This window comes from Homo sapiens, chromosome 5 (genome assembly GCF_000001405.40).
Source record: "Homo sapiens chromosome 5, GRCh38.p14 Primary Assembly".
Lineage (NCBI taxonomy): Eukaryota > Metazoa > Chordata > Mammalia > Primates > Hominidae > Homo > Homo sapiens.
In genome coordinates, this window is record NC_000005.10 from 800,661 (window position 1) to 815,700 (window position 15,040).

Below are 15,040 nucleotides of genomic sequence, written 5' to 3' on the forward strand. Positions count from 1 at the left end.
ATTTCACTGCATTCTATGGATCGTCCTAAATGTTTAAGCAGAAAGCAGGGATAGGTACGGTCAGAGGCATCTAATCAGAGACCATCTTAAAATGGCAGGTGTTCATTATTTAAAGTTCTTAGATCAGTACAATTGGGTGAAAATAATTCTTAGTTTAGACTTAAAGGCAAGTATGGAAATGAGAGGTGTTCAATCTATACATTGTTTACTGCCTAGAAAATAAAGATGAATTGATACTCTCACAGCTCGGCTGCCATGCACTACTTCTAAAGATGGACACACGGTTCCTGTTCTGGGGTTACTGTTGACATCAAGAGACAAACGACAAGCAGCCCAGCCCTTGAGTTTGCACTGGTGATTTTTTAAAGAAGATATTTCACTCTCTAGAGAACCAAACTTGGGTAGATTTCAACATGACCCGCACTGCCACGTATCTTACCTGAATCTCAGTCTTCACTTTCAGCACTGTCAGTTTTCATGGGCTCTGTTGTTTCTTGTTGCAGCCTGTTTGCAATATTCAGAAAGAGAAACAACAGAGAACGTATGATGTAATACTTGTTATAATGCCAAAGTGCACAAAATGTGTAAACAAGAGTACATTTTAGAGATTAGCTTGTGACGTGGGCAATCACTTCACCTCTCTGAGTTTCAGAGCCTTCATTTTTGTGAAAACAGTAACATGACTGCACTGCTGAAAGAATGTTGCTTTTTTCTTCTGCATGTGTGCTGATATAGAGACAAAGTGTGCTTTCCCTGATAAATAAGAGGGTCTTGTGGTAGCCAAGGAGGCTTGTTTGGATTTCCAGCATGAAAAGTGGGGAAATGTGGGGCCCACAGGAGGTCAGCTCATGCCTGGTACCTTCTTCTCACAACTCTTGCTTGATTGTGATGAGTTCTGGCTATCAGGGAGCCTTAAGTGTTTTTATACCCACATCTTGAGTACAGGTGTTTTGTTCTCTGCCCTGATGTTACACTACCCCAGCCAGCTAATGACTTGATTGTTTATGTGTGCTGGCCAGCTGGCAGTAGAAGTGACCGTGTTGCTGCCCAGACTTTGCAGAGGGTTGGAGATCGGGCTTAACTTGCAACGCTGAATGTGTCGGGAATTAGACACCAGAAACACGCAAAATTTTGCTTTGAAAGATTTTGAAAGACCCACAAGCAAAATAGTCACTAGGAGACTTCTAAATCAAAACTGCGTATCCATCACATGCTATAGTCTCCCTTCTCTGATCCAATCCTTAAAAATTATAATCAGGATATAAATGTATCCATAAATGAGTAAGGACATTACATCAAAGAAAAGCAAGAGGGAAACCTTTCTTGGATCAGAAATGATGACTCCTAGAAGGAAAGGATGCAAATGGGAGCTGATGCAGAAGGCCATGGTCAGGAGTGTGCTGCAGAACCTGGAAGAGACCCCCAGGAATTGCCACAGAGGAGCAGTGGATGCTCAGCTGGGCAGGGCTCCTGATGGGGTGATTAGCTGGGGGACTTGTAGGCTGAGCGGCCAGGCAGTGACTGCTGCTGCAAGACTTCCCAAACCATAGGCAACAATGGGAGTGTCTGCCACCAGATTATTGCAGGGGGAGCAGTAGTCTTGGTAGACACAGAGAAGTGCTAGGAAAAAATGCACAGAAGGAAGTGACAGGACTCAGTAAGCAAAGGAGAACTGGGGTATCACCAAACGAATCCAAAAATTACTGAGAATAAAGAGAAAATAAAATATTAATTTCAAATGAAAACATAAAGGCATGACAAAGTATGATAGGTGAAATGGTGGAGGATTGTGAGACATACAGGTTGGTGGGGAAGAATGTAGATAATTGTGTTGTAAAAGTGTGTAAGTATGTATATAAAAATGGAGAGGAAGTTTACCTAAAGACAAAATGGTATTGTAGAAAGCTATAGAGGCTGGTCCTTCCACTGAAACAACCATTGAGCTATAAAGAGCAATTGCAATGAATTATTTGGAAACTCTGCAACCTGGTCAGACATCTATGGGAGAGTGCTTGAAGAAAGGAGAAGCTGGGCTGGGTGCGGTGGCTCACACCTGTAATCCCAGCACTTTGGGAGACCGAGGTGGGTGGATCACGAGGTCAGGAGATCGAGACCATCCTGGCTAACATGGTGAAACTCTGTCTCTACTAAAAATACAAAAATACAAAAAAAAAAAAAAAAAAAAAAAAAAAAAAAAAAAAAAAAAAAAAAAAAGCTAAATGTGGTGGTTAGTGCCTGTAGTCCCAGTTACTTGGGAGGCTGAGGCAGGAGAATGGTGTGAACCTGGGAGGTGGAGCTTGCAGTGAGCAGAGATTGTGCCACTGCACTCTAGCCTGGGCGACAGAGCGAGACTCTATCTCAAAAAAAAAAAAGAAAAAGAAAGGAGAAGCTGCTGGTCTTTCGTGAATGGTGTACATGAGCCAGCTACCGCCTCGATTTCTTAGTCTTCCTGTGGCTATAAGGGCAGCAACCTACATTCTTGGAGCAGCTGGCTGATGTCACAGTGAGCATCAGGAACCTTGTCCTCAATAAATTTGAGGTGGTACATTTTGGTTAGTCTGGTGGTGCCCTGAGGGATCAATACAGAGGCTTGCCTTGGTTTTGATCCACTTGGCAGCAGTGGCTTCCTCCAGCAGCATCCCTTGGAAGATTTACAGAGACAGACATTCCCCCCTTGTTTGTAGCTTGTTTGTAGCTAGATATTTGAGGAAATCTTTGATAGTTCACTAACTGGTCATAGAGATAAAGGAAGAGCAACTTCAGTGACAAGAAATACACATTTTGCAAAACTACTTTGGAAAGGGCACAAACTGATGGTTCCAGCCTTTAACAAGAGAAAATCCACAGTCCCAGAGGAGGAGAAGCACTTGATTTTTAGAGTTACCATATTATGATACACAGAATGTCCAGTTTTTAACAAAAAATTATAGAACATATAAAGAAATAGAATAATATGGCCCACTCACAGGGGAAAAAGACTTGGCATAAACTATGTCTGTGAAAGTTCAGACATTTGAACTACTAGTCAAACACATTAAATCAGCTGTCTTAAATATGCTCAGTAAACTACAGGAAGTCACTGACAACTAAATAAAGTAGGAAAATTACATATGAGCAAATTAGATTAGTAGTAGAGATAGAAATTATATATTTTTTAAAAACCAAAAAGAAACTGGAGCTGGAAAGTACATAACTGAAATAAAAAGTTCATTAGAAGAGTTCAACAGATTTGAGCAAGCAGAAGAAAGGATCAGCTAAGTTGAAGACAATCGAAATTATCCAGTCTTAGGACCAGAAAAAAAAAAAAGATTAAGGAAGATGAACAGAGCTTGAAAGGTTTGTTAGACACCATCAAGGGTACCAACATATGCAACATAGGAGTCTCCAAAGTAGAAGAGAAAAGGAAAGAGGCAGAAAAAATACAGTGTTCGCCCATTATCAGCAGTTGTGTTTTCTGCACTTTCAGTTACCTCTGGGTAACCACAGTCCAATAATATTAAATGGAAAATTCCAGAAATAAACAATTCACAAGTTTTAAATTGTGTGTAGTTCTCAGTAGCATGATGAAATATCATTCTGCCCTGCTCTGCCCACCCAGGACATGAATCATTCCTTTGTCCAGCATATCCATGCTGTATACACAATCTGCCCATTAATGTACAGGAAAAAACATAGTGTATACAGGGTTTGGTACTATCTACAGTTTCAGATACTTACTGAGAGTCTTGGAACGTATCCCCCACAGATAATGGGGGAGCAGGAGACTACTCTATTTAAAGAAATAATGGCTGAAAACTTTCCAAATCTAATTAAAGGAATGAATCTACACATCCAAGGAGCTCAACGAATTCCAAGCAGGCTATACGCCAAAAGATCTACACCAAGACACATTACAGTTAGATTGTTAAGGCATAGACAACAAGAGAATTTTGAAGGCAGGCAGAGAGAAGTGACTAATCAGAATCAAGAGATCCTTAGTAAAATTATCAGGTGATTTCTCATTAGAAACTAAGGAGGCTCAAAGGCAGTGGGGTGACATAGTTAAATGCCCTGGAAGGTGGAAAATACCTGTCAACCAAGAATTCTATATGTGACAAATCTATCCTTCCAGAATAAAGCAATAACTAAGGCATTCTCACATAGACAAAAATTGAGGGAATTCATTATCAGCAGACCTACCCTAAAAGAAATATTAAATAAATTATTTAGTCCTAAATGAAGACACTAGACAGTAACTCAAAACCATACAAAGAAATAAAGAACATTGGCAAAAAAATAAAGAACACAGGTAAATATACAAGTCAATAATATTGTACTTTTGGTTTGTAACTCTTTTTTTCTATATAATTTAAAAGTCAAATGCATATTACAATAATTATAAATATTGTTAATGGGTGCACACTGTATAAAGATGTAATCAATGACAACAGCAATATAAAGGGTGAGGGATGGAGATGGATAAAAGCAGTGTTTGTGTACTATTGAAACTAAGTTGGGGCTGACTGTAGTGGCTTACTCCTGTAATCCTAGCCTTTGGGAGGCTAAAGTGGGAGGATCGTGTGAGACCAGGAGTTCAAGTCCAGCCTGGCAACATACTGATACCCCATTTCCACAAAAATAATTTAAAATTAGCCAGGCGTGGTGATGTGTGCCTGTAGTCCTAGTTACTTGGAAGGTTGAGGTGGAAAGATTGCTTGAGCCCAGGAGTAGGAGGTTGTAGTGAGTTATCACTGTGCACTCCAGCCTGGGCAACAGACTGAGTCCTGTCTCAAAAAAAAATCTACATTGGTATTCAAACTAGGGTGTTATACATTTAAGACATTAATTATTATCCCCAGCATAACCACTAGGAAGATAATTAGAAAATGTACAAAAAAGGAAAGAACAAAGGGATCAAAATGGAACATTACAAACATTCAACTAAAGATTTTTTAAATGGGCAGGAATTGAGAAATAAAAATATATATGATATACACAATGCAAAAAGCTAAATAGCAGAAGTGAATCATTTCTTATCAGTAATTACTTTAAACATTTTATATATATATACATAGATAGATATATTGAACTTTTTAATTAAAAGTCAGGGATTGGCGGATTGGATTTTTAAAAAGCTGAAGTGCCTGTGGACAAAGATGCTGAGTTAAAGGAGGTTGTCTTCCTTACTGAGTAATAGAGAAGCTCCCGGGCCCTGAGATATGGAGGGTCCCAGGGGCAAGGGTGAGGAGCGAGGATGGGGGTGGGATGTGAGGTTAAGCACAAGGGTGGTAGCTAAGTGTTCATATATGGAACATGTTGCTGACCCCACACAGCAAGCGGCTAGCCTCTGCCACCCCACAGGAGATAAGAAGGGTCTGACGTCAGGACACCAGAGGTGTGGCAGGTGGGAGAATGGGGGAGGTGCTGGAAAGGAAAGAGTGGGGTTAGTGATCATAATACTGAATAACTACAGCCTTTCGTGGGAGAGAGGGAGTACTTACTTCTCAGAACTTATTAAGCTATGGGAAGTAAGATGATAAGAAATTAGTGCAGGGATAGACAAAACTGATGAGTGGAATTGACTAGACAGCCCAGAAATAGACTCAAATATGTGCATAAATGGAATTCAGGACAGAAGAAGCTTTTTATGCCAGTGGGGAGAGGGCCTGCTCAATGAATGGAGCTGGAAACAATACAAATCCATAGAGGGAAGAATGAAGTTAGATCTCTACCTCACACCATACACTGAAATCAACCAAAGATAAAGTCTTAGCTCTCAAAATCAAAACTGAAAACCCTTAGTAGAAATAATAGATGGCTATCTTTTGGATATTTTGTGAAAAGGTTCATTAATCAAGACCAAAAAGCATTACTTATACAATATGTATAAACATGACTATATTGTAATGCATGATCTGGTTTCTAGAATGGTATATTAAATTAAACATGGAGTTAAGCTGCACATGGACAGACTCTATCTGTAATTCACCCAACTGACAAAAGGTTTGTATAAAGAATATATAAAAACTCTATAAATCAATAAGAAAAGCACAAAGAGTCCAGTGGAAAAATGGACTAGGGACATGAGCAAGTGCTTCATGGAAGAGAAAACTCGTATGGCTCACATGTGTTCAGATTCATTAATAATGAGGGAAATACTGAAGAAGGCCACAATAAGCCACCAGTTCACACTACTCGACTGTCAATTCCAAGTGTTGGAGAGGACATGAAGCAATAGGACTTCTTATACCCTGCTGTGAGAGTGTAACATGTGCAACACCTTTAAAAAACAGTGGCCTTATCTCTGAGAGCTGGACATTCTAGCAATTGCACCACTAGGAATAGCCCCGGGAGAAATGGTTGCACCTGTACAACAGGAGATCTGTCAAGATCAAGCAGCACAGCTGGGTAGCAAAAAACTGGAAGCCATCTCCATGCCCAACCATAGCAGAGGGGGTAATTAAGTGTGGTACGGGGTGGAACAGCCACAGAAGCAAACGCCAACAGACTACAGCGACAAGCAGTATGGACAGACCTTGGCAATTTAGTACCAAGTGAAAAAGGTGATTCCTCAAAGATTCCAGATACTACATACACACAATGCCCTTTCTGTTAAAAAAAAAAATGAAAAAGTATCCAATGTATTGCACGTATGTATGTACTCTTTAGGAATATACAACTATATCTATATAGATATCTAAGGAACAAAATTTGAAGGAAAGCAAGAGAATGAAGAGCATGAGCGGGGTGCAAGGACTTGGAATAGGGGCCCCGTCTCAACAGACAAAGATGATGTCAGACTCTGCTTTTGTTGTTGGTGCTTCCTCCACTATCATAAATAAACAAAATACGGAGTCAATGAAGGAAGCAGGTCACTCACAGATCAAGGATGAATCTGTTCCCACCCAGGATTGGGATTCGTGTGACTCTGGGCACCTGGGATCCAAAACAAGGGGAAAGAGGCAACCACCATTCACTGGGCATCCCAAAGCCAGACCCTGGGCAGTGATGTTCACAACTCCAGGAGCTCACACACAACCTTCTTGGGAAGAGATACTAATATGTCCCATTTCCTTGTGAGGAATAGCGGCTCAGAGTGGTTTAAAAACTTATGAGATTATAGAACCAGCAGCATCTCCACACTGGCCCAGAAACGAGGTCTGTCTGATGCCAAAGTCCAAATGCAGGTTACGGTGCCAATTAGTTTCTGATCACTCTGCTAAGAGGAGCTTTGCATTCCTGTGAAGAGTGAGAGAGGTCAGCCTGGGATGCCTCTGGGGGATATCAGAGCAACAGGATCAGACGCAGGTCCTGGACTGAGCCTGCAGCTAAGAGAAGGCCACAGGCGGGGTCTGGGGGTGCAGGCCAGTCCCCATCAGACTCTCAGTGATTGTGGCCACTGGGGTTAAGGGCCAGAGTGTGACCTTCCGTGGTCAGAATGGGGCTCTCCTAAGTGGACTGAAAGACAAACCCTAGATCTTCAGGTGGGTCCTTCTGAATCTCTGGTGCCACAGAAGGAAAACTGAGCACTGCAGCCCCATGGGGATGGGAGGGGTCAAGTTGCGCAGCCTCCCCCTCGCTGTGCAGCCTCTTGGGAGGGAGCACGCAGGACATCTGAGAGGACCTGCACCCTTAGCCTTAGACCCTTTGCTGGCTGTATGACTGCTCAGCTCTCAGTGCAGAGAGACAGCCCTATGGTAGCTGCATCTGCCCTCCTCTCCTCTCTAGCTCCTCTGCTCTGCCTGAGCTGTCCTCTGGGTGTGGGTTCAGACCTGTCCACACATCCTGTGCTGTGTCATCAGTGCTCCCAGCCATGCCCCACTTCCAGACTCCCTCACTCAGTTCCCTTTGGACGTCTGCATGTGTCTCCAACACACTTACGTGTTCCATCTTTTTTATTTATTTATTTATTTTGAGACGTAGTCTCACTCTGTCACCCAGGCTGGAGTGCAGTGGCACGATCTTGGTTCACTGCAACCTTCACCTCCCAGGTTCAAGCGATTCTCCTGCCTCAGCCTCCCGAGGAATGGGATTACAGGAGCATGCCATCAAACCTAGCTAATTTTTTTTTTTTTTTTGAGACAGTCTTGCTCTGTCGCCCAGGCTGGAGTGCAGTGGCACAATCTCGGCTCACTGCAAGCTCCGCCTCCTGGGTTCACGCCATTCTCCTGCCTCAGCCTCCCGAGTAGCTGGGAGTACAGGTGCCTGCCACTACGCCTGGCTAATCCTTTTGTATTTTTAGTAGAGACAGGGTTTCACCGTGTTAGCCAGGACAGTCTTGATCTCCTGTCCTCTTTATCTGCTGTCTCGGCCTCCCCACATGCTCCATCTTTTGACCATCAGTTACACACACACACACACACACACACACACACGCACACTATTTATTCCCCACCTGTCTCCTATATGCAGTTTTCCCAATATTTTATTAAAATTTCAAACATAAACAGGACTGGAAAAGGCTTTACAAAAAAATAAAAAACAAACAAAACCTGAACCCAGCACCTGGAAGCGACCAGGGCTAATGTTTGTCCTCCACCCCATCACATAACTGTCTGCCCATCACTCTGGTCTGCCGCATTTCAGACTGGTTGCAGACATCTGCACCCCTCGCTGAGATGCACACACGGCACTTCTGGGCCTTTGTTGCTGTTGGAGCAGCACCCTTCAGGACCCTTCCTGTAGATGGTGAGCCTGTGTCCCCAGATTCACAGGCTGAAGTCCTAACCCCAGCGTTGTGTGTCATAAAGCGGAGCCTTTGGTGTCAGCTCCCAAATGTGGGTCCCGGATGACAGGATTCGTGAGTGCCTTCAGAACACGCATGTGAGTGAGATCTCACTCTCAACTCCCTGCCTTGTGAGGACAAGCAGAGGAGGCCATCGGAGAACCCGGAAGGGGCTCTCATCAGACACCGGATCTGCCGGCGCCTTGAGCTGGGACTTCCCCTGCTGTGTGAGGACAACCAGAGGAGGCCGTCGGAGAACCGGGAAGGGGCTCTCATCAGACACCGGATCTGCCAGTGCCTTGAGCTGGGACTTCCCAGGCTCTGGAATGGTGAGAAATACATGTTTGTTGCCTAAGCCCCCGGTGTGTGGTATTTCTGTTGAAGCAGGCTGAACAGACTCAAACACCTAGGAATGCTTACAATTAGTCAAACGAGCAACTCGGAATATTGTTGTAACCTCCACTGTGGAGGAAGGCTCTGTGCTGCCCACTGGAAGGAAGAGGCCAGCGGCTTTGGGGATACCCCAGATGACGAGGTCCTTTCTAGAGGCCAAACAGCAGCGGGGCTCAGGCTCAAGCCCTGGGAGGGAGACAGGAGCTCCTCATGATCCCCTCTTCTAGGAAGCGCGGGAGGAAGGAAAGACCATGTGTCAGCAAGGCAGGGTCTCGCTTTGGGGAGGAGCTCACAAGAGGCCATTAAGGCTCCAAAGTTCCAGACAAGCACCATTACCGTGGTTTCTGCTTGTCAGCAGATCCCAGGAACAGGCAGCTCCTGGGAGGCTGCGTGAGTGCTCGGGAGTATACTACACAACAGACACCACCTGGGCATGACGCTTACATGGAAAGCACCCTGGATGCTTGGCAGGGGGATGATGCAAAGGAACAGCTCCAACCTCCAGTGGAAAATTAATACAAGCCACTGAATGAGGCGCTGGGGATTAGGGTCTTCACACGCGAAATCCTGCTCCCTGTTCCCACTTTCATTCCAGCTGGTCAGCTACGTCCACCCATTCCCTTCGACATCCCACAGCAAACACGCAGACCAGAATATCCCCCATCGGTTTGTCTAATATCCACCACTAGAGACACTATAAATTCCTACACATTTCCCACAAAATAGACCTGTGATTAGCAACATCACACCTCACAGGCTCTTAATGAATGGACTTTCCCCGTGTGGCAAAGCGTGACATGATTTAAACAAAGTCCCTGATCGCTAGAAACAGATGTTTGTAATGTGCGCAGCAGGCAGAGCCTGAAGTAAAAGGCTGTGAGTGAGTCTATAAGGTGGACCAGCTGGATCCAAACTGTTAGGTGACCCTGGAAGCATATTCTGTGACAAAAAAAGGGTTAATGGTAACTTATCGCCTGTTGCATCTAGAGGCTTTGTAAACTCGTGTGGTGTTGGTATAACACTTTTCACATTCAACAAGGTTAGCTCATTCTCCTGTGGAGAAGACTTGAATGAAATGAAGAAGGCTTCCAACAAAGAGGAATATGATTTAAAGATGGAGCGGTTTATGCCCATCTTTAACGCAACAATGTAGAGTTTAAAAAGCAGGTGCCTAAAGAGGTGTATTAAATGATAATTTCATTTAGAAAATGGGTCTAATACACAGAAAAAATGTTAAAAGGGAAGCTGCAGGAGGTGCCAATCAAAATGCCTGCAGTAGCCATTGGTGGGTGGGGGGACTGTGAGTGACTTAGGTTTTTACACCAAGAATGTTTGTAACTTCCCAATTTTCTATTTTGAATGTGTACTGATAAAACATATATTTTTTTTCAAAGTGAAAGTTTACAATCCTGGTCACAATTAATTTTCTATCATTCTTGCCAGAAATGGATAAAGGAGAAAATGTCTTAGTTTTTACCTAATAATAGAACCATAGGCTATACTTCAAAGTAAAATCCAAAATAACCTGAATTCACTAAATCAAAGAAAACCAGTTTACAAGGAAAATTAATGGGTTGTGTGAAAGAGCATTTTCACACTAAGTGATATGTAATCCTTGATTGCTGAAACTAGGCAAAACTCTTAAGCAATTCTCAGATTTGAGAAATTGATGAATGGGGCACTTCTCCTGGGCTACTTTTTCTGACCCAGGAAGCTGCCTGCCTCTTGAGCTGGAGAACCCGGCTGGCCTTCCCTGGCCTGGAACTCTGGCGCTGCCCCCAGCACGTTTCCGTGAAGGACGGAGCTTCTGGGGCAACTCAGGAAGAGCAAGGCAGGAACTTGCATCCTCTGCCCACCTGGGGAAGACTGACTTCTGGGTCCTTATTGTGGCTCCCAGCGGAGTTGGGATGCCAGGGAAACGCTATCGGCCACTCTCAAAATGAGGTGTATATTTAATATAATTTTGCTCCAAATTCCAGGTTTCCTGGAACCGAAACAAAATGTATTTTCCATATAAATTTCAAACAAACTTATATGAAAAAATTAAAGTTTAAAAATTGTCAAAACTTTTAGAAATGAAAAAACCTGAGAAAGTGACTGTCGGACATTAAAATGTAGCTCAGAAGGTCCAGTAATTAAAACAGCACGGTTTAGGACACAGATCCACAAGGCAGAAATAAACGTGTAGAAACAGATCTGAGTCTAGTGCTTATGGCAAGCACTAGAAAAGGGGGCCTTTGAATTAGATGGAAAGGTGTATTGTTTCATAAACGAGGTGGTAACCATTACTTAAGTCTTCGAGATAAAGTAACCTTAGCTCTCTCCCTGTATGCAAAAATAAGTTGAAGATGGCTTGAAAATCAAAATATAAGGAAAGTCAAAACAGAAAAATTATAAAAATATCAGCAAAGAGTTCTGTATGATTTTGGTATAACCCTGGAGTAAGAAAGACTTTTTAAAGCAAGACAGGTACATTTGACAACTGACTTCACAAAAATTTATGAACTTCACGTTGCAAAAGACACGATAAACACAAAATTTTAAAAGACAGACTGAAAGAAATACGTTGGAAACACACAGATCAGAGAATTACTATCCCTAACGTGCAGAGAGCACTTAGTATCGACAATACAAACAACTCCATTTAAAAGTGCGCAAACCTTTGAAAAGCTAATTCATACAAGAGGAACTGTGAAACGGTAAAAAAGAGAATGACAATATGTTCAGTCTCATTAGTAATAAGGAAAATGCACATTGAAACAATTAAAAGTGTTATTTGGATAAAACTAAAAATACCTTGCTAATATCTGGTGCTGAAAAGGGTGAGGAAATTGAAGGAAATTTGCATTGTTTAAACCTTTTGGTAAAGTAAGTAAAAAGAAACTATGAGGATTTAAAATGCAAATGCCCTTTGACTTTTAAGTGTTCCACAGAAACAAAACAATATTGTCAGTATCTGACAACCTTGGCACAAAGGTGCTTCTTGCAATTTTGTTTGCAAAACCTAAACTTGGTCATAAACTTAATATCCCATAGTGAACAATGGTTGACTAAGCCACGGTATATGCACATCATGAGAGGGTGAATTTCCTGACAAGAATAAAACACATCTATATGAAACGTCATGAGTGTAATCTATGCCATATTGTTGAAGAAATTAAAATTCAGGAAGGGAGGTGCAGAATATTTTTAACCTATACTATCATCTTCAAACTGATACAATTAGCATGTAACAAGGTTATAAGTTCTGAGTATAAGTTAGGTATTAAATTCTCCCCCATCTAAATGTTGCTCCATGGCCAGACACAGTGACTCATGTCTGTAGTCCCAACACTTTAGGAGGCTGAGGCAGGCAAATCGCTTGAGCTCAGGAGTTCGAGACCAGTGTGGGCAACATGGTGACACCCCATCTCTACAAAAGTTGGCTCAGTGTGGTGGCATGAGCCTGTGGTCCCAGCTACTTGGGAGGCTGAGGTGGGTGGATTGCAAGAATCCAAGTGGCAAAGGTTGTAGTGACCTGAGATTGTGCCACTGCACTGCAGCCTGGGTGACAGAGTAAGACCCTGTCTCAAAAAAATAAAAAAATAAAAAAATAAATGTTCCTCCATGATCCAGGGCAGCTGGGTTGGGAGGATGAGGCCAGCTGGGTGCACTCATCTGTGAGGGGGAGACCGGGAGGCATGCGGTGACCTCAGCAGTCTGGGGTCCCAGGTGCCTCTAGAGGAACCCCAAGCAGCTCCGAGCCATGAGGTGTGGGTGCTCCTTCTTCCCAGCACGAGCAGCCTCCCTCACACACCCTCCCTGAATAATGTCGGCCGTGTCACTGGGCTTATGTCCACTGGGCCCTACCTGGTTTGGCCATCTGGCCCCCCTGAGCAGCATGACCTACTGGAATGGTGGCAGAGACCCCAGAGGTCCTGGGCCAGGACGGCTGCAGCTGCTGTGTGCCCAGAGAGCACGGGGCTGTTCTGTGCAGGCTGGGGTGGGGGCTTCCCCTGTGGGGCCGGCTGGGACTCCCTGCAGTGATGGGAGGAATATGGCAGGCAGGCTGGGGACTGAGATGTGAGGTGAAGGCAGGAAGGAGGCTGTGTCAGTGTGAGAGAGTGTGACTGTGTGCGAGTGTGTGTGTGTGCACGTGCCTGTGTCTGTGCACCTGGGGTGGTTTGAGCCAATGACTCTTACCTTTCCACTTCATTTTCTTTTAGGTTGTATTAAATGGTTCTAGATGAAACTTTAGTAGAGTGTAGGAGCGCAATATCTAAACCCTAAAACTCTGGGAAATGTTGTATAAAGCTGCTTTTTAAAATATAAAGTTAATATATGTTCATTTTATGGAAAGAAAAATGAAACAGCAAACAAGGAGTAAATAATTTACTCAGCATCATGTGTGAGTAGATTTCCTATTACTCTATGTTCTGTGAGAAGTGTATCCTGTACTTGAGATTCTCTGGGAAGAATATGCATTTGTCATGGCTGTACAATTTTATTTCATCATGGGAACAGGGTACCCTTTAGAATGTGTGCTTAAAACTGGATCATGGTCCTCTTTATAAGGGTCTTCTTTCAGCTTTGTAGTTTGGAGGGTGAAAAAGTGGTGTGCAGTTGGGCTGGAATTGTGCAGTGTTGGGGCAGAGCTGTCATCAGTGGATGTATTTAGAGTTGAAATGACAAGATCTGACTCTCAATGAAACACTATTAGAAACATTAAAAAACATTCAGGCTGACAACATTACACGTGTTTAAAGAAAGAAAATAACTACGCTTGGCCTTATTTTTGTGCGTAAGTTCAAATGTTAGTTATAAAGAATTCTATAATTTTTTCAAGTAAGATGAGTGCAATAAGCCACATGAATGGCTATAAATGTTCAGAGAAACATTTCTACTTTCCCTTATGTCATCAGATTATTTGAACATGTTAAATAGAGAACATATTTTCCTATGTAATTTGAGTTCAGGCAAGTGTAGAGACAGACAAAACGTTCCCGTTAAACTTACGAACTTACCCAAGTGTAGATATACTCGGGGCATCATCTGCTTCCTGTGGGGGGAAGGGATGCAAAATTCATAGGATGAACAAAGACCTTGTTGACATTAAACTTATTCTTAAAATTCAAGTTCATTACTAGTCAGTTCTGAGTAATGGTACTTCAAGAATGCCTGGATCATGGAATAGGATCTCAGTGGTGACACAGCACCCTTCCTCCCAATCCTTGTATTATGGGCTGAACTATATCCTCCTCCAAATTCATAGGTTGACATCCTGACTCCCAGTACCTCAGAATGTGACTATATGTGGAGACAGGGTCTTGAAAGAGGTAATGGATGTTAGATGAGGCTACTAGAGTGAGCCCTAATCCAGAGTGACTGGTGTCCTTTTATGAAGGGGAGATTATGACAGAGACACAAACTGAGGGAAGACTGGGAGGACACAGAGAACAGGTGGCCATCTACAAGGCAAGGAGAGAGGCCTTGGGAGACACCAACCCTGCAGACACCGTGCTCTGGGACTTCCAGCCTGCAGATATGTGAGAAAATACATTTCTTGTTCCAACACCCCATGTGTGGTTCCTGCTTGTGGAAGCTCTAGCAAAGAAAAACACCTGCTATGTGTGCACACACGTTGTTCTCAGTGCTCTTGGTTAAGAACCTGGGAGTGGGAGTGCTGGCTCATATGATAAGTACATGCTCAGCATCTGAAGCTTTGCCAAACTGCTCGCCAATGTGGCATCATCTTTCATCCCCATGAGCAATACATGAGACTTCCAGTTCTCCGATGTCTTCACCAACACTTGGTATTGTTCATCTTCTTTTTAATTATATTTTTTAGAGACAGAGTCTTGCTTTCATTGCTCTTGGGTAAGAATCTGGGGGTGAGAGTGTTGGGTCATATCATAAGTACCTACTCAGCATCAGAAGCTTTGCCAAACTGCTTGGCGATGTGGC

The 15,040-nt window shown here is 43.2% G+C and overlaps 1 protein-coding gene across 14 annotated transcripts in view, besides 1 other annotated feature; it reads right to left on the reverse strand.

The window, feature by feature from the left end:
- ZDHHC11 (zDHHC palmitoyltransferase 11) overlaps window positions 1-15,040 on the reverse strand; it is a 64,959-nt gene that overhangs the window by 5,056 nt on the left and 44,863 nt on the right. For all 14 annotated transcript variants that reach the window (XM_047417747.1, XM_047417746.1, XM_024446212.2 and 11 more), the window contains 2 exons: window positions 14,101-14,135; window positions 440-504 (listed from right to left, as the gene is read on the reverse strand). In XM_047417747.1, coding sequence (XP_047273703.1) covers window positions 447-504; window positions 14,101-14,135 — 93 coding nt within the window. In that variant the 3' untranslated portion in view covers window positions 440-446. Of the gene's footprint in view, window positions 1-439; window positions 505-14,100; window positions 14,136-15,040 lie in introns of those variants that run through there.
- Window positions 10,780-10,949: a silencer, noted in NCBI's record as "fragment chr5:811555-811724 (GRCh37/hg19 assembly coordinates)". NCBI's record gives its function as "represses an EF-1alpha promoter that drives an FKBP-Casp9 reporter gene in an ReSE screen in K562 erythroleukemia cells {active_cell/tissue: K562}" and the evidence as "EXISTENCE:reporter gene assay evidence [ECO:0000049][PMID:32094911]".